Source organism: Homo sapiens, chromosome 17 (genome assembly GCF_000001405.40).
Source record: "Homo sapiens chromosome 17, GRCh38.p14 Primary Assembly".
Classification (NCBI taxonomy): domain Eukaryota; kingdom Metazoa; phylum Chordata; class Mammalia; order Primates; family Hominidae; genus Homo; species Homo sapiens.
Genome location: NC_000017.11, coordinates 73,145,377 through 73,163,688, shown reverse-complemented (window position 1 = coordinate 73,163,688; position 18,312 = coordinate 73,145,377). Strand labels below are relative to the sequence as shown.

Here is an 18,312-nt window from a genome sequence, read left to right as displayed (position 1 = left end):
TGGGGTGGCTAGCTCACTGGAAGAGGGCTGTGTCTGCTCACCGTCAGTGGGAAGAGGGAGAGGCAGAGAGGTAATAGTAATATCAGGAGGGCATCGTGGAATTGTGCTCAGGGGAACTCGGCATCCTCTGGCCACACAGTTGCTACAATGCCTGTTGCCACCTCCAGTTTAAAACCAGTAATCTGACTGGTTTCCAGGAAAAGAAGGAAGAGCCAGGAAGTGCCCACTCTGCCCTCAAATTCCTTTCCTAAAAGTTCTCAAACTGTTAATACCAGATTTACGTTTCATTAAAAAAAATAATAACTGGAGCCAGCAGAGTCCGAGATGATGCTGCTGTTCTACCCTGGCTGCAGGGATGGGCTGATCGTGGAGGAGGGACAGCGCTGCCGCTGCCACTCCCTCGCCTGCAACACGTGCCTCTGTGTGCACTTCACCCACAAGGTAACAAATTGGAAGTACTCAAAGCTGAAAGAAGTGGATGATGGGCTTGGGGGAGCAGCTGCCTGGGAGGATGTTGACTCTACTGCAGAGCCATGTCCTCAATGAGAACCTCCTTGTGCTTACTACATGTAGCTTCAGACCCACTCTGCAGATGAGCCGAAGACCACCTTCTACCAGTGCTGCAGGACTCAGTGTGGACACCACTGGAGGGATTAGGGCAAGGACGGCCCAGGTGCCTGAGCGTCTGCTTACCTCCGGGTAGATGCTCAGCTGGGAATATGAATCGTGTGTCCTGAGGGTCTTTGCTGGTGTGGTGGAAAGCTAACCCTTTTAAGGTGAAGAGACAGGGTGTCAGGAAATGTGGCCTATCTGCCAGTCCGAATGGATGAAGTCATTGATGTCCAGGGAGTTTTTCTGTGTGGGGAGGGGACCCATAACTAAGTATGCTCTGTTTGAAGTCCTGTTCTTTCTTCCTTCCTTCCTTCCTTTCTTTCTTTCTTTCTTTCTTTCCTTCTTTCTTTCTTTCTTTTTTGAGACGGAGTCTCGCTCTGTCGCCCAGGCTGGAGTGCAGTGGCACGATCTTGGCTCACTGCAAGCCCCACCTCCCGGGTTCACACCGTTCTCCTGCCTCAGCCTCCCGAGTAGCTGGGGCTACAGGCACGTGCCACCGTGCCTGGCTAATTTTTTGTAGTTTTAGTAGAGATGCGGTTTCACTGTGTTACCCAGTATGATCTTGATCTCCTGACCTCGTGATTCACCCACCTCGGCCTCCCAAAGTGCTGGGATTACAGGTGTGAGCCACCGTGCCTGACCTCTTTTTTTTTTTTTTTTTTTTTTTTTTGAGATGGAGTTTCGCTCTTGTTGCCCAGGCTGGAGTGCAGTGGTGCGATCTTGGCCCACTGCAACCTCCACCTCCCAGGTTCAAGCGATTCTTGTACCTCAGCGTCCCGAGGAGCTGGGATTACAGGTGTGCGCCACCATGCCCTGCTAAGTTTTGTATTTTTAGTAGAGACGGGGTTTCACTATGTTGCCCAGGCTAGTCTCAAACTCCTGACCTCAAGTGATCCACCCGCCTCGGGCTCCCAAAGTGCTGGGATTACAGGCATGAGCCACCACGCCTGGCCTAATTTTTATTTTTTTTGAGACGGAGTCTCACTCTGTTGTCCAAGGTGGAGTGCAGTGGCGTGATGTCAGCTCACAGCAACCTCTGCCTCCCAGGCTCAAGTGATTCTGCTGCCTCAGCCTCCTGCGTAGCTGGGACTCCGGGCGGTTGCCACCATGCCTGGCTAATTTTTGTAATTTTAGTAGAGACAGGGTTTCACCATGTTGGCCAGGCCGGTCTTGAACTACTGACTTCAGGTAATCGCCCACCTCAGCCTCCTGAATAGGCTGAATAATCCCAAAATGCTGGGATTACAGGTGTGAGCCACCACATGTAGCCCTGTATGCTCTTTAATGTGGATGACCAAATAAAGCAACATTCCCCTTCATGCACTTTCCTTGTCGAGCCTTCCCCTCCTTATCACATAGGGCAGACCCAGCCTGGAAAAAGTACTGATGCACCCACGTTAGGCACACCTGTCTTACTGCAGCTGGCTGAGTGGGCTCTGAACAACATGGACCTTGACAGCAGAAATGTGTCATCTAGGATGATTGTTGATTTTGTCCAGAAAATGAATGCCTCCTCTCTTCTCCCCTCCCCACCTTTGAAGGCCTCCAAAGAGCAGTTTGGGCTGCCAGCAGCACTCAGGGGCCAACCTCGAGTTCCTATTCCACCTTTGGCTCCCCCAGGCTATTTTGACTCTGCCCTCCATCTGCTGAATGAAGTCTGAGCTGTAATCCACATGGGGCTACCTCTTCTTCCTCTGCAGCTTGGCTAGTAACTAAGTAACAAAACCTTGAGCCAGAAAAATAGAGGGGTTGGGGAGGAGATAACCTTCTAACTGGCTTGTTTGATATCTTTAAAGCAATTAAATAGCACCCTTCCCTCTGTCAGCAGTTATCAGAGAGACAATAGGTGGCAGGAAATTAAGAAAAGGAGGAGGACAAAGGGCCAGGCCAGTGTCCAGCCCCTTCCATGGGGAGGGGCTGCTCGGTTCACTCTTGCCAAGAGGAGTTCATCGTCTAGGAGCTCCACAGGGAAGACACAACTCCCAAATAGGTCATTATGTCTCTGAGTGGCTTAATAAATTAAATGGGGGAAATTGTTAGTCTGCAATCAATTTGGTGAAAGTAAGTATTGCAATTAAGCCTGGAGGAAAGCAAGAGAGCCCTGAGGGGAGGATTGGATGTGTTTGAGAGTGTTAGATACCAGTCTGAGCATCCAATGTGGTTTTTATCATCTTTACGGGAATGCCAGGGTGAGGTCTGCCATTTCTATTGATGAGAAAAGAGCAATGCTTCTGCCGTGGAGAACATCAGATATCCGGTGGTTTGAGGGGGCGGGGGAGAAGATACTCGGCATGGTGATCGTAGTACCTTGGCTTCCTGGGACACTCCTGTTTTTAGCTGTTATTTCCCTTGTCCCCCACAAACCATCCGCATTTTACGAAAATGGAAATGTCAGCATGTAAAAGCCTTTCTGATACCATGGGTCCTGATGTTTAGTTTGGAAAATATAGAGTACAGTCACCATATCACTGTTTAAAAACTTGAGGGCTGGGCACAGTGGCTCATGCCTGTAATCCCAGCATTTTGGAAGGCTGAGGAAGGAGGATCACTTGAGCCCAGGAGTTTGAGACCATCCTGGGCAATATAGTGAGACCTCATCTCTACAAAAAAAAAAAAAAAAAAAAAATTAGCCAAGCATGGTGGTGCACACCTGTAGTTCCAGCTACTTGAGGGGCTGAGATGGGAGGATCTCGTGAGCTCGAGAGGTGGAGGTTGTAGTGAGCCAAGATCATGCCACTACACTCCCGCCTGGGTGATAGAGCAAGACCCTGTTTCAAAAAAAAAAAAAAAAAAGGAGGTTGGGGGGGCATTTGGCATAGTCGATTTAATAGTCTCTTCAAATACACAAAGAATTCAAATGAGGACCTTTCTTCCTCTCTCTGTCCCCTAGCCCTCAACAGCTATGAGTCTGGCATGGCGTGTCACCATTTTTCTCTATTAGCAACCTCGACCCTCAGGGAATACATTGGCCAAGTGAGTGAGTAGGCATTAGAAGCTCTTTGGAAACCACCCCCAAACAAGTCTAGAATCAGGAATCGTGGTTAGAAGACACTGTGCTCTAGATAGGATTCCCTTTTTTTCTTCTCATCCCCATTTTGGCCGAAATGCATATAGACATAAAATCCTGGAGCCAGAAGGGTCCTTAGACATTCTCAGGTTTATAGCCTACATCCCATCATTATCCAAGTAAAGATACCAGGCTCAGAGAGGACAGGTGACTTGACCAAGGCCACCCAGCAAGGGAGTGGCAAAGTCAAGAGTCAAATCAGCTCTTCTGAATCGCGGACTCATGCCCCTTCCACAGGGACCCCACTCGCACGGGGTATGAAAGCTGGAGGAGAGAGGAGTCCCCAGCTCCCCCACCGTCTGTCCCAGCACTTCTCTGGCACCAGTACATTCTTCCTGATAACCACATCTCTGCTGCTCTTGCCTGGTCCGGCTCCTCTTTTTCAGTGCCATGGTGACAGAGTTGGAAAATTTGAGGCTGTCTCCTGCTGTGACTTTTTCCAGAGTGTGCTTCCTGGACCACTAATTCTCAGAGCAAGATGCTACGTAGAAAAATCGGCTGGGCATGGTGACTAACGCCTGTAATCCCACTACTTTGGGAGGCCAAGGCAGGTGGATCCCTTGAGCCCAGGAATTTGAGACCAGCTTGACCAACATGGTGAGACCCCTGTCTCTACCAAAAATACAAAAAATAGCCGGGCATGGTGGTGTGCACCTGTAATTCCAGCTACTTGGGTGGCTGAGGCACGAGAATCACTTGAACCTGGGAGGCGGAGGTTGCAGTGTGCTGATATCACACCACTGCACTCCAGCCTGGGCAACAGAGTGAGACTCTGTCTCTCGAGAAAAAAAAAAAAAGAAAAAGAGCACAGGCAACTCTGGGAAATGGTGCACAGCTGCACATTCACCATTCACCCCATGTCCTGCAGATTCACATTCATATATATATCATATGTCTCTCTCTCTCATTCATATATATATATGTCTCTCTCTCTCACATTCATATATATATATATATAGAGAGAGAGAGAGAGAGAGAGAGAGAGAGAAGAGAGAGAAGAGAGAGATAGGGTCTCACTGTGTCTCCCAGGCTGGAGTGCAGTGACGTTATCTTGGCTCACTGCAGCCTCGACCTCCTGGGCTCAAGCCATTCTTCCATCTCAGCCTCCCAAGTCACTGGGACTACGCCTGGCTAATTTTTGTATTTTTAATAGAGATAGGGTTTTGCCATGTTGCCCAGGCTGGTCTCGAATTCCTGAGCTCAAGTGATCCGCTGGCCTCAGCCTCCCAAAGTGCTGGGATTACAGGTGAGAGCCACTGCGCCCGGCCTCACATACTTATTATAATGTCCATTACGTGCAGGGTGCACTGAGTGTTTCACACACCTTTTATCTCATTTAATTCTCTCAACCTTTGTGGCACATGCCTTTATCAGTAGTAACATTGGTATTTTGAGAAATCTTGCAGGAAAGACAGCTGTTGATCTTTAACCCAGTGTTTCCCAACTTATTTAGCCATGGATTCCCTATGAGTAATTTTCCCTGTATTTCCCTGAGTAATTTTCAACACCTATTCTGTGCTTACTGTGTGCCAAGCACTGTGCTAGATGCTTTCTGTTAACTCATTTAATCCTCACTGTAATCCTATGAAATACCATCAGCATTATTAATCCTCCTTTTTGTGAATGAAGCAAGGCACAGAGAGGTTAAGTACCCTGCCCAAGGTCACACAGCTAGCAGTGACAGTTTAACTACCAAATCCTGAACATAATTATGCAGAGCAAGAATCCATTGGCAAATGGGACTCCCACCTTCCTTAATCGTTCTTAGAGGCTGATTACAATACTAGAGACAATCCCTTCCCCTGATCGATAGCCACAATTGTTTGTTGTGTTGTTGTTTGAGACAGTCTCATTCTGTTGCCTAGGCTGAAGTTCAGTGGCTTGATCACTGCTCACTGCAGCCTTGACCTCCTGTGCTCAAGCAATCCTCTCACCTCAGCCTGCCGAGGAGCTGGGACTACAGGCATGCACCAGCAGGCCTGGTGAATTTTTGAATTATTATTATTATTATTTTTTGTAGAGACAGGGTCTCGCTATGTTGCCCAGGATGGTCTTGAACTCATGGGCTCACGTGATCCCCCCCATTCCCACCTCGAACCTCCAAAGTGCTGGGATGACAGGTATGAGCCACCACGCCGGGCCCACAATTGTTTTAAGCCCTTCTCCAGGCAGTTACTTTCCCATCCTAAGAACGTCTTTGTGGATGAGTTCTGGATTGTTTCCAAGTTCTCTGAGGCTCTGACAATCATCCAGGCCTCCTAGAAGAATTTTTTCCTCTCCCTTCCAGAATGACCCAAGTGACAGAAGTGCCTGGTGCTTTCCTGCTGTGTGACTCCCTCCACCCCCACCCTCCACCAAATGCTGAATTGCCTGATTAGCCTAATCAGAAGAGCAGCCTCTTCCCCAAAAGAGGAGCTGCTGCTGGGGGGTGGGAGGGATTTATAGACTCACAGCGGCAGAACGCCCCTCTGAGAGCACCTGTCAGGGCTTTGAGACAAGGCTGCTACATGGGAAAATCACCTGGGGAATTCTAAAACTAAGGGTGCCCTGGCTCCGTCCTTAGCTATTCTCATTTAATTTTTGGCATGGGGCCCAGGTAATTTTTTCAAGCTCCCCAGTTGATTTTCATGTGAGCTAGAGCCGAGAACCTCTGAGAGTTAAACTGTCTCGATTCTGATGTGGAGAAACTTTAGATCAGGAAGGGAGAAAGACTGTCCTGGGTGAAGCCACAAGCAACTCAGGAGCTCTCCTCCCCCAGGGAGGAGACTGTGGACTCACACTGCACTCCATCACCCTGGGAACCCTGTTATCTGGGCAGAGGGCATTCTGAGCAGGGTTTGTGCAGCCGTGGGGCCTGGAAGTCTCTGTTCCATGAGCAGATGGAACCAGAGTTTTCTCTCTCATAAGGAAAATCCCCTTCAACTACCTCTCCTCTCCTAGTGAGATAGCAGGGTAGACACCTCACCTCACTTCCCTTTGGCAAGATGCACTGGTTCCTGTAGAATGGGTGTTTCACAGCTTGTGAAAGGGCAGCAACTTCACAAATGGGCCAGAACCAGTAATTCGGGTCCTCGTTGTAATTAGAGCGACGAAGGTCAGGATCTAATTTAATCATGGCCAGAGTTGACCACACTGGCCTTTTCCCTCCTGGGGTCTGTGTTCCTGTGTGTTGCCAGCAGCTGGGTACCTGGGTGAGGCTCCCACCCTGTCCCGTCTCCACGGATAGCTCCTCCTTGCTCTGGAAATTCTCCTCGTCCTAGTCTCCTTGTGCTAGTGGCCGAAACGGTAGTTCCTCCCTAACGGGACACAGAATATTTAAAATTTAACAGGGCTTTGGGAAGGTGCAGACCCAGAAGAGAGGATTTCCAAGTGGAGATGTTGGCCCAGCGTTGGCAGGAGTTGGGGGTGGGTGGGTCTTCATGCTGAGCGGCGTCCCATCTCTTATCACAGAGCCTGTTTCTTTCTCTCTCTCACTTTCTGAGTCAGGAATTTCTGCTGCTGAAGGGCCTCTGCTCCCCGGAAGAAGCAAACACCAGGAGTGAATCCAGCCACTGCAGCTGATATAGTTCAATTACGTTTCCAAAGAGGCTGCAGTTCCTTAGCCGGCCCCGGGGTGGGGTGAGCGCACAGAACTCACCTCCGGGGCGGCCTCTGCGAGCTCGGCACCCGGCCTTGCAGGATGGGGCCCAAACGTCCATCCCAAGGCCTTTCTTTTCTCTTTTCTCACTCCCCTCCCCATCCTCCTGCCCATCTGGGGATGCGATGCTGCCCTGTTAGAATCAGGATGATGGCAGTGCCTTGGAATCCAGATCCTGGCGTTTTCTGTCTCCCCTTCTCATGGTGGCTTTCCTCTCTCTGGCCTCACTGACAAAGAGAATCTCCTCTATCCGAGATCAGGGTGCCCTTCTTGGGAAGAGGCAGGCATGAGATTGCTAGAGGCCCAGGTGAGAAGTCATTGAGGGCAGATGTCAATTCTGCAAAGGGAGTGGATTCTGCAAAGACAAATGGATTTGGAAAAGGGTCTTGAAAAGCTATCTGGGGGTGGCGGGGTAGCACTTAGTGCCTGTTTGGAGGCTGAATGCTAAAGCCGCAAAGGATGCTTTTGCTGAGGGCTACAAACGTTTCTGTAAGGCTGAAAGGGTGGGTTTTCCTTCTTTGACACAGGAGGTGACTCCACAGAGCCCATGGGCATCGGAATGGGTTCCAGTCGTGGGACCAGGAGGGACTTTGTTCAGCCAGGTGAGGCCCTCGTGATGGGACCTGGCCACTTTCCAAAAGTAAGACTTCCCTGCTGGCTTCTTCTTGCTCCCTTGTAGCGGAGCCAGCTTGTTGGCTTTGTTTGCTGGTTGGGCTGCCAGTCCCCAAGCTTCATGGTACCCGCCTGCCTGAGGCCCCAGAGCAGATGGCCGGCCTGGTGAGGGGGAATGGGAGCCCTGCCCCCGCCCCCGCCCCCGAGTCATTCATGTGTCTCCTCTCGCCCTCACAGCCTACAAACGGCTGCTCCTCCTCCCCCTCCCTGGCTCTCTCCCACCTCACTCTCCAGCAGCCAGATCTGACAGATTGTCCCTGTGCCTGCCACTGAAACCTAATTTCTCCATACCACTTCAGACACTCAATCTTTCTCCCTGGCAAGACCCTTTTACTTGGGGTTGCAAAGCATGACAGTTCTAGGCTTTGTTTCTAGCCTGTTGGAACACTGGACTCTTTTGAATAATTGGATTCAAGACTTAGGAGGTGTCTTCACTCCCAGTAGAGATGGGTAAGGACGTTGTAGGATCCTAACATGACCTGCCAGAGCAGGTGTCTGGGGAGATGAGGCTTGGCCTCACAGTGTGACCCTGCAGAAGCGCTCACTTTAGTGCTCCTTCAATAATGAGCCCATTTAAATAGAACTTAAACAAATTTTTTTTTGAGATGGAGTCTCGCTCTTGTTGCCCAGGCTGGAGTGCAATGGCACCATCTGGCCTCACTGCAACCTCTGCCTCCCAGGTTCAAGCAATTCTCCTGCCTCAGCCTCCCGAGTAGCTGGAATTACAGGTGCCCACCACCATGCCTGGCTAATTTTTGTATTTTTAGAGTAGAGATGGGGTTTCACCATGCTGGCCAGACTGGTCTTGAACTTCCAACCTCAAGTGATCTGCCCACCTCGGCCTCCCAAAGTGCTGGGATTACAGGCATGAGCCACCGCGCCCAGCCAGAACTTAAACAATTTTTAACACAACTTTTGCATGTATACATAGCATATAAAAATTTTAAACAACTTACCAGAATATGACTGGTTCTAAAAATCCTATCTCCCATCCCCCCAAAATGAAGACTTGACACCAGTGAGTCTATTCTAAACATTCTGATTTCAGCTCCAAAGTGAATTTTTAAGGACAAGTTCCAGAAATGAATTGGCAGTGGTGATATTAAATGCATATTTAGTTTTCCAAGATGTGCACTTTTTAGTGCTGTTGGACTATTTAGGAATAGCCAGTACTCACTTTGATGTATAGTTCTGATGTTATTGGCAAAAATAAACAAGTCAAAAGCACAAAACAGGCAACTGACAATGTCATGTCTCTGAAGAGCATGTCTGTATATAATCCTCCTACACAGGTATACACACCTTCATCCATCTATTCTAAACACGAAGAATGTATAAGAGAAATGGGGAGAAAATTGGTTTCTAAGCCCTGCAGTCCAACTCTTTTTTTTTTTTTTCTTTTTCCTGAGATAGAGTCTCACTCTGTCACCCAGGCTGGAGTGCAATTGCACGATCTTACCTCACTGCAACCTCCACCTCCTGGGGTTCAAGGGATTCTCCTGCCTCAGCCTCCTCAGTAGCTAGGACTACAGGCATGCGCCACCACCCCGGCTAATTTTTTTGTATTTTTAGTAGAGACGAGGATTTCACCATATTGGCCAGGTTGGTCTCGAACTCCTGACCTCAAGCAGTCTGCCCACCTTGGCCTCCCAAAGTGCTGGGATTACAGGTGTGAGCCACTGCGCCTGGCCTATGCAGTCCAACTTTTGACTGTGTCCTCTCAGGATAAGGGAACTCAGAAGCCTATCCCAGGCCTGAAATCCTTTGCAAGTGTTCAGAAATCATGCAGGACGGTAGTTGCTTTTGATGTCCTCCTGCCCTTCACAGGCCTTTCAGAAATCCAGTGTTTTTTTCATGGCCTCATATATTCTATTTAGGAGAGATGCTATAAAGGGTTGTCATTTCTGAAACTGGTTTTGTTCCTGTTTTCAGTATCTTGTCACAAAACTGGCAGTTCATCACAAAGCAATTAATGCTGCATGACTTAATGAACATTTGATGCATTTTTTTTTTTTTTTTTTTGAGACGGAGTCTCGCTCTGTCACCCGGGCTGGAGTGCAGTGGTGCAATCTTGGCTCACTGCAACCTCTGCCTCCTGGGTTCAAGTGATTCTCCTGCCTCAGCCTCCTGAGTAGCTGGGATTACAGGCATGTGACACCATGCCTGGCTAATTTTTGTATTTTTAGAAGAGTCAGGGTTTCACCATATTGGTCAGGCTGGTCTCAAACTCCTGACCTCAGGTGATCCTCCTGCCTCAGCCTCCCAAAGTGCTGGAATTTAGGCGTGAGCCACCGCACCCAGCCTGATGCGTTTATTTAGTTGGGTGGGAGGCAGAGTAGCTCTGTAGCCCTGAGTAGATAGACGCTGCCTAGTGGGCTGAAATAACTCATCCTGGTTAATTTCTTCTAAAATTATATAATTCTCTATAATTTGAGGTCCAGATAGTAAAATATATGCTGATAATATATGCTGATCTTCAGTGCAAACCAGTAGAAGGATTTGTTTGACCAGTAAAATCTTTTTATTTTAAATTTTATTTTATTTTTTATCAAACCAAACGGTAGGATTAGACTTCTAAAGAAAAACAGCAGACTATGGCTGGGCACGGTGGCTCACACCTGTAATCCCAGCACTTTGGGAGGCCAAGGCAGGCAGATCACAAGGTCAGGAGATGGAGACTATCCTGGCCAACATGGTGAAACCCCAACTCTACTAAAAATACAAAAATTTAGCCGGGGGTGGTGGTGCACGCCTGTAGTCCCAGCCATTTGGGAGGCTGAGGCAGGAGAATCGCTTCAACCGGGAGGCAGAGGTTGCAGTGAGCCGAGATCGCGCCACTGCACTCCAGCCTGGTGACAGAGTGAGACTCTGTCTCAAACAAACAAACAAACACCCAGCAGACTCCTGCTCTATCCTTCTCCACTTCTGACACTTTCCCTAAGTACAAAAACTTTCAATTCTTTTTTTTGTTTCTTCTGTTACTGAATTTAACCTCTATGTTTTCTAAATGGCATACTTATACTTCTATTTCTTGATTTTTCTGTTTTGGACTCTATTGGCTTCCTATGAAAGAGCCCCAACTCACCACCTATGTGATGAACTTCCCTATTTCCTTTCCTCCCAATATAGTTACTGTGTTAGTTCATTCTCACACTGCTATGAAGAAATACCCGAGACTGGGTAATTTATAAAGAAAATAGGTTTGATTGACTCAGTTCCGCATGGCTGGGGAGGCCTCATGAAACTTACAATCATGGCGGAAGGCACCTCTTTACAGGGTGGCAGGAGAGAGAATGAGGTTCAGCAGGGGAAATGCCAGACACGTATAAAACCACAAGATAAGATTTCATGAGAAGTCACTCTCACGAGAATAGCATAGGGGAAATTGCCCCCATGGTTCAATTATGGGGGTTATAATTCAAGATGACATTTTGGGTGGGGGCACAGCCAAACCACATCATTTGCCATCATTTTTATCAAGTCAGTAGTCAATGTTTGCATTACTATAACAATGTAAATATTATTTACAGCTGAGCCAAGCACTATGCTTTGCTGGCCTCTTTTTTTCTTGTAGAGTCTTTTGTTTTCCCTGAAGTTAATGATTACCTCTTTGTTAAAAAAAAAAAAAAATTTTTTTTTTTGAAACAGAGTCTCACTCCATCACCCAGGCTGGAGTGCAGTGGCATGATGTCGGTTCACTGCAACCTCTGATTCCTGGGTTCAAGTGATTCTCCTGCCTTAGCCTCCCGAGTAGCTGGGATTACAGGCGTGCACCACCACGCCCAGCTAATTTTTGTAATTTCAGTAGAGACGGGGTTTCACCATGTTGGCCAGGCTGGTCTGTAACTCTTGACCTCAAATGATCTGCCCCCCTTGGCCTCCCAAAATACTGTGACTACAGGCGTGAGCCACCATGGCCAGCCCCCCAGATTTTTTTTACTTCCTTTTTTGTGTACCTATTAATGATTCATTCCTAAATTCTGCAGTCAAAAATCTTCTCTAACTTTATTCAACATATTGATTTCATTTATGGCTTAGAGGCATTCTTCCTGGAGATCATTATCCTTCTGCTCAATCTAGACCAGTTGTTCTTGAAGTCTGCTGCGCAGCTCTCATCTCAGGACTTCTCTTTACCATTACCCTGAGGATTTCTTTCTTGCTTCCCAATGTTCGTCTTCTGTTTGCTCTCTCTTGCTCTGTCTGGCTTACTTCTTCGTTTTGGTGGAGCATCACCTCCAGGAGTTTCTTGAGAAAGGGTATGTGGTAGCCAGCCTCCAAGATGAGCCCTAATAAACCCCATCTCCTGGTATTTACACCCTGCACGGCCCCTCTCACATTGTACCAGGATTGATCTGTATGACTAATACATATGATGGATGATGGTATGTCACTTCAGAGATTAGGATATGGAAAGCATTGTGCCTTTTATCTTGGAGGCTCTCACCCGTCTCCACCTCTCCTCCTCTCTCCTCCCTCCCCTCTCTTCCCTTCCTCTCACCTCCCCTCTCCTCTCTTCCCCCGTCTCCTTTTGAGGAAAGGTCGTGAGCCCTGTCTTGAGCAGTCCTATAGGATGGGAAGGTGGAACCTCCAGCCAACAACCACAGGAATGAGCTTAGAGGTGGATTCTTCAGCCTCAGTCAAGCCTCAGATGACTGCAGCTTTGGCCGATTCCTTAATTACTCCCTGATATGGTTTGGCTGTGTCCCCATCCAAATCTCATCTTGAATTGTAGCTCCCGTAATTTCCACGTGTTGTGGGAGGGACCCGGTGGGAGATAATTGAATCATGGGGGAGGTTTTCCCCATACTGTTCTCATGGTAGTGAATAAGTCTCACGAGATCTGATGGTTTTATAAGGGGTTTCCCCTTTCACTTGGCTTTTATTCTCTCTTGCCTGCTGTCACGTAAGACGTGCCTTTCACCTTCGGCCGTGATTGTGAGGCTTCCCCAGCCACATGGAACTGTAAGTCCATTAAACCTCTTTTTCTTTATAAATCACCCAGTCTCGGGTATGTCTTTATCAGCAGTGTGAAAACAGACTAATACACTCCGTCATGACAAATCCTTAGCCCAAACCACCCAGCGAAGCCCCTGCCAGCTAAGCCACTCTCAAATTTCCCTCTCATAGAAAATAGGAGATAATAGATGTCCACTTTTTAAACAACCAAAATTTGATGTGACTTGTTATACAGAAATAGATATGACAAAGGTAAATTTTTTGACACTATGCTTATGTAAAGATGTCTTTATATACCCACACTTCTGACTGATGGTTTAACCGTATATAGAATTCTATTCAACCATTGGAAATCCTCTTCCCTCAGAATTTTAAAGATATTTATCCATTAGATCCTGGTTTACAGCGTTGATGTGGGTGTGTCCAATGTCTTTTCCCCAAAACTTTTTTTTTTGAGACGGAGTCTTGCTTTGTCGCCGAGGCTGGAGTGCAGTGGCGCAATCTCGGCTCACTGCAAGCTCCGCTTCCCGGGTTCATGCCATTCTCCTGCCTCGGCCTTCCGAGTAGCTGGGACTACAGGCGCCCGCCCCCACACCCAGCTAATTTTTTGTATTTTTAGTAGAGACGGCGTTTCACTGTGTTAGCCAGGATGGTCTCGATCTCCTGAACTCGTGATCCACCCGCCTCGGCCTCCCAAAGTGCTGGGATTACAGGCGTGAGCCACCGCGCCCGGCCCCCAAAAACTTTTAAAATCTTCTCTTCATTGCTGGTATTATGAAATTTCATCAGGCTATGCTTTGGTGTGAATCACTTTTTTCTTTTATCATTTGTGTGGTTTGCATTCAGTGAGCCCCTTTAATCTGGAAATGTATGTCTCTTATTTTTAAAAGATGTCATTACATTAATTTTTTAAATTACTCCTCTTCTGTTGTCGTTGGTCCCTCTTCCTAACACCTCTATTACTCAGACCAGTTCCCTGATTCCCTTGGCTTTTCTCTTTTATTTTCCATATATTTGTCATTGTCTGACTTTCTGGGTGATATTTCATTTCTAACCATTCTATTGAATTTTTTATTTCAACAATTGTATTTTTTTTTTCTTTTTTCGAGACGGAGTCTCGCTCTGTCACTCAAGCTGGAGTGCAGTGGCATGATCTTGGCTCGCTGCAACCTCTGCCTCCCAGGTTCAACTGATTCTCGTGCCTCAGCCTCCCAAGTAGCTGGGATTATAGGCATGCGCCACCACGCCTGGCTAATTTTTGTATGTTTAGTAGAGACGGGGTTTCACCATGTTGGCCAGGCTGGTCTTGAATTCCTGATCTTAAGTGATTCTGAAGGGTTTGAGAGGGAAGAATCTGGAAACCTAGTGGCTTATTAGATTTAGGGAACAAGAGGATTGGGGTACAGTAGGGAGATGGGGATTCCTGGATTTCTGGCTTTGGTGACTGGATGGGAGTGGTACTATTCACCAAGAGGAATAAAGAGGAGGAGCACACACCCCATGGGAAGAGAGGGTGAGTTCTGTTTGGGTTCTGCTGAGGTTAGGATGCCCATAGGATGGCTAGAAAATAGTTTGATCTATGAGTTGAGACACTTGGGAGAAAAAAGCTGAGCTAGACATTTAATAGATGTTTAGGTTTGGGACATTAAGTTTGTTGTTGTTGTTGTTTTGAAACAGGATTTTCCCCAGGCTGGAGTGTAGTGGTGTGATCACAGCTCACTCAAGCCTCAACCTTCCCAGGCTCAGGTGATCCTCCCACTTCAGCCTCCTGAGCAGCTGGACTACAGGTACGCACCACCACCCCTGGCTAGTTTTTGTATTTTTTGCAGAGCTAGGGTTTTGCTCTGTTGCCCAGGCTGGTCTCAAACTCCTGGGCTTGAGCAATCCTTCCTCCTCAGCCTCCCAAAATATTGGGATTACAAGCATGAGCCACTGCACCTGGCCAAATCTGGGAGTTATTATCTATGGGTGATAGGTGGAAGTGAGAGAGTAAATGAGATCACCCAGAAGGAATGTAAGGGGGAGAAGAAGAGAGGATGGGGAATGCTGACTTTTAAAAGATGCCAGGATGCCAAGGCTGGTGGATGATGAGGTCAGGAGTTCGAGGCTAACATGGCGAAACCCCGTCTCTACGAAAAATACAAAAATTAGTCTGGCATGTTGGGTGGGGGGGTGCCTGTAATCCCAACTACTCGGGAGGCTAAGGCAGGAGAATCGCTTGAACCCAGGAGGCAGAAGTTGCGGTGAGCCGAGATAGCGCCATTGCACTCCAACCTGGTCAACAGAGCAAGAATCTGTCTCAGAAAAAAAAAAAAAAAAAGTCACACACACACACCCACACACACACACACACACACACAGAGACGGAGAGAGAGAGATGGAGAGAGAGACGGGGGAGAGAGAGAGAGAGACGGGGAGAGAGAGAGACGGGGAGAGAGAGAGAGACGGGGAGAGAGAGAGACGGGGAGAGAGAGAGAGATGGGGGGGAGAGAGAGAGACGGGGAGAGAGAGAGAGACGGGGAGAGAGAGAGACGGGGAGAGAGAGAGAGACGGGGGGAGAGAGAGAGATGGGGGGAGAGAGAGAGACGGGGAGAGAGAGAGAGACGGGGAGAGAGAGAGACGGGGAGAGAGAGAGAGACGGGGGGAGAGAGAGATGGGGGGGAGAGAGAGAGACGGGGAGAGAGAGAGAGACGGGGAGAGAGAGAGAGACGGGGAGAGAGAGAGAGACGGGGAGAGAGAGAGAGACGGGGAGAGAGAGAGAGACGGGGAGAGAGAGAGAGAGACGGGGGGAGAGAGAGAGATGGGGGGGGAGAGAGAGAGAGAGAGAAAGAAAGTAGCAGGGAGGAAAGCCTGCTTGGCAAGAGGAGAGAGGGTCTCATAGGTAGGGGCATGAAGAAAGTAAGGTTATGGAAGAGGAGAACTGAAAAGTGAATGTTAGATTGAACATCCAGGAAGTCACTGGGGCCTGGCAAAGTGGCGTGGGTAGAAGGCGGATGGCAGCATGTTGAGGAGGAAGGCGGCTTGGATGAGAGGTGGTAGAGATGGCAAGTGGAGTCAGTTCTTTCCAGGAGCTTAGCTGAGAAAAGGAGGGAAACAGCAATGGTTAGTTAGAGGAAAGCATACGGCTGAAAGCAGTTTTTAAAAGGTGGTAAATGTTATATATATATATAAAAACACACGCGCATGCACGCGCGCGCGCGCGCACACACACACACACACACACTGTGACAGAAAGACAGCAAGTGGGGCTTCCCTTGCATTGTGTTTGGAGACACTCATACAACAGGGAGTGACTGCAGGCATTGGCAGTAGGTGGGTATGGCGGTGGATGTGGGTGTGTACAGGGTGCATATGGAAGGAGCAGGAAGGATCTGAGAGCTCTTTTTGTCTCAGGACCATCCATACAACAAATTCTTTCTGGGCATTTACTCAGTTCGAGACCCTGTATTTCTTGCTGGGAATAGGGAATGAAAAACGCAACCCCAACCTTGGGAAAGCAGGCTTCTCAGGATGTTAGACATAGGTATACCAAAAAATGCTGGGGGCCTCCTGCTCCAGCCTGGGAGTGGGGGTCAGGAGATGACTCTAGGGCTCACCCTGGAGCCAGATCTGAAAGGATGAGAAATAATTTTTCAGGTGGACAAAGCGAGAAGGTGCACTCGGCTGTGCAGTTTAACCACGAATCTCTATGAGGCACCTTTGCATGCCTGTTGGGCATATTGGGCATGCAAGGATGGTGGCAAGGGAGTCAGCCACCATCATTTGCATTGGGCAGAGACTCAAAAGCAGGCAGAGGAGTGGGAACGCTTCATAATGGAACGTGGGGAAGGCCCTCGTTTTGCCCTGAATGGAGACGGTTGTAATGGGGAAGCTGGAGGCAGGCCAACCTAGAATCCCACACTGGATTCAAGGCCAATAAGGTGCCGCTCCCACGGAGCAATATACAATATCCAGTGGAGGAGACAAGCAAATGGGTTTGATGTCATATGCTAAATCTGGGGACATAGAAGGTAGCTTCTTGTGGAAGGAAACAGAATATGGGAGAGGGAAAGGCAGGGCAAGGGCCTTAGGTGATGTTGTGGGTTGCATTGCATCCCACAAAAAGATATTTTGAAGTTCTAACCCCTAGTTTCTGTGAATGTGATCTTATCTGAAAATAGGGGTTTAAGCTGGGCATGGTGGCTCATGCCTATAATCCCAGCACTTTGGGAGGCCGAGGCGGGTGGACTGCTTGAGGTCAGGAGTTCAAGACCCACCTAACATGGTAAAACCCCATCTCTACTAAAAAATTTTTAAAAAATTAGCCAGGCATGGTGGCGGATGACTGTAATCCCAGCTACTTGGGAGGCTGAGGCAGAAGAATTGTTTGAACCTGGGAGGCAGAGGTTGCAGTGAGCCGAGATCACACCACTGCACTCCAGCCTGGGTGACAGAACAAGACAGTCTCAAAAACAAAAACAAAAACAAAAACAAAAAACAAGAAGAAAGAAAATTGGGATTTTGCAGATGTAATCAAGTGTGGAAATAAATAAATCCAGAACCGCCTAAATGAGAACAAGCAAAGGCTATTTGTTCAGAGCTTGCTATAGCAAGGGAGTCAGCCACCATCATTTGCGTTGGGCAGAGACTCAAAAGCAGGCAGTGGAGTGGGAAGACTTCATAATGGAACATGGGGAAGGCCCTCATTTTGCCCTGAATGGAGACGGTTGTAGTGGGGAAGCTGGAGGCAGGCCAACCAGGAGCAGGCTGACTGCGTTCTATATGGTTGGTTAGGGGAGTATATCTGGCTTTCTCTGATAGGTCCTAAGTTGGAAGTGGGAGCAATAATTAAGGAAGCTGTCAGTTACAAATCAGATCAAAACAAAACAAGGGTTATTGTTTAGCTTCCTGGACTGGTTGCTACAGGAAGTAGTTTTACTTCCTGGACTGGTTACTGCGGATAATGGGTTGGCTTCTTGGACTGGCTGAAGATTATGGGTCAGAGTTTGATTTTTATGTATGATCTGGCCATTGTCTCTGCATATACAGTCTCTCATGAGTTAAATGAGGTTATTAGGGTGGATCCTAATCCAGTATAACTGGTATGGTATCTTTATAAGAAAAGAAAACAGAGACACAGGAACAGACACACAGGGAGACAGCCATGGGCCGACGGAGGCAGAGATTTGAGTGATGCTGCTACAAGCTGAGGAATGCCAAGGATTGCTGGCAACACTGGAGGCAAGAAGAATCAGGGATGATTCTTGCCGAGAGCCTTTAGAGGGAGCGAGACCTGCTGACACCTTAATTTCGGATTTCTGGCCTCCAGAACTATGGGAGCATAAATTTCTGTTCCTTTTTTTTTTTGAGACTTTCCATATGCATCCAT

General features: G+C 48.1%; 1 pseudogene, besides 3 other annotated features; it reads left to right on the top strand.

The window, feature by feature from the left end:
- POLR3KP2 (RNA polymerase III subunit K pseudogene 2) lies at positions 305–919 on the top strand (annotated as a pseudogene).
- Positions 6,201–6,510: an enhancer, noted in NCBI's record as "active region_12687". NCBI's record gives its function as "activates an Ori minimal core promoter by ATAC-STARR-seq in GM12878 lymphoblastoid cells {active_cell/tissue: GM12878}" and the evidence as "EXISTENCE:reporter gene assay evidence [ECO:0000049][PMID:35858748]".
- Positions 7,114–7,183: an enhancer, noted in NCBI's record as "active region_12686". NCBI's record gives its function as "activates an Ori minimal core promoter by ATAC-STARR-seq in GM12878 lymphoblastoid cells {active_cell/tissue: GM12878}" and the evidence as "EXISTENCE:reporter gene assay evidence [ECO:0000049][PMID:35858748]".
- Positions 12,829–12,978: an enhancer, noted in NCBI's record as "active region_12685". NCBI's record gives its function as "activates an Ori minimal core promoter by ATAC-STARR-seq in GM12878 lymphoblastoid cells {active_cell/tissue: GM12878}" and the evidence as "EXISTENCE:reporter gene assay evidence [ECO:0000049][PMID:35858748]".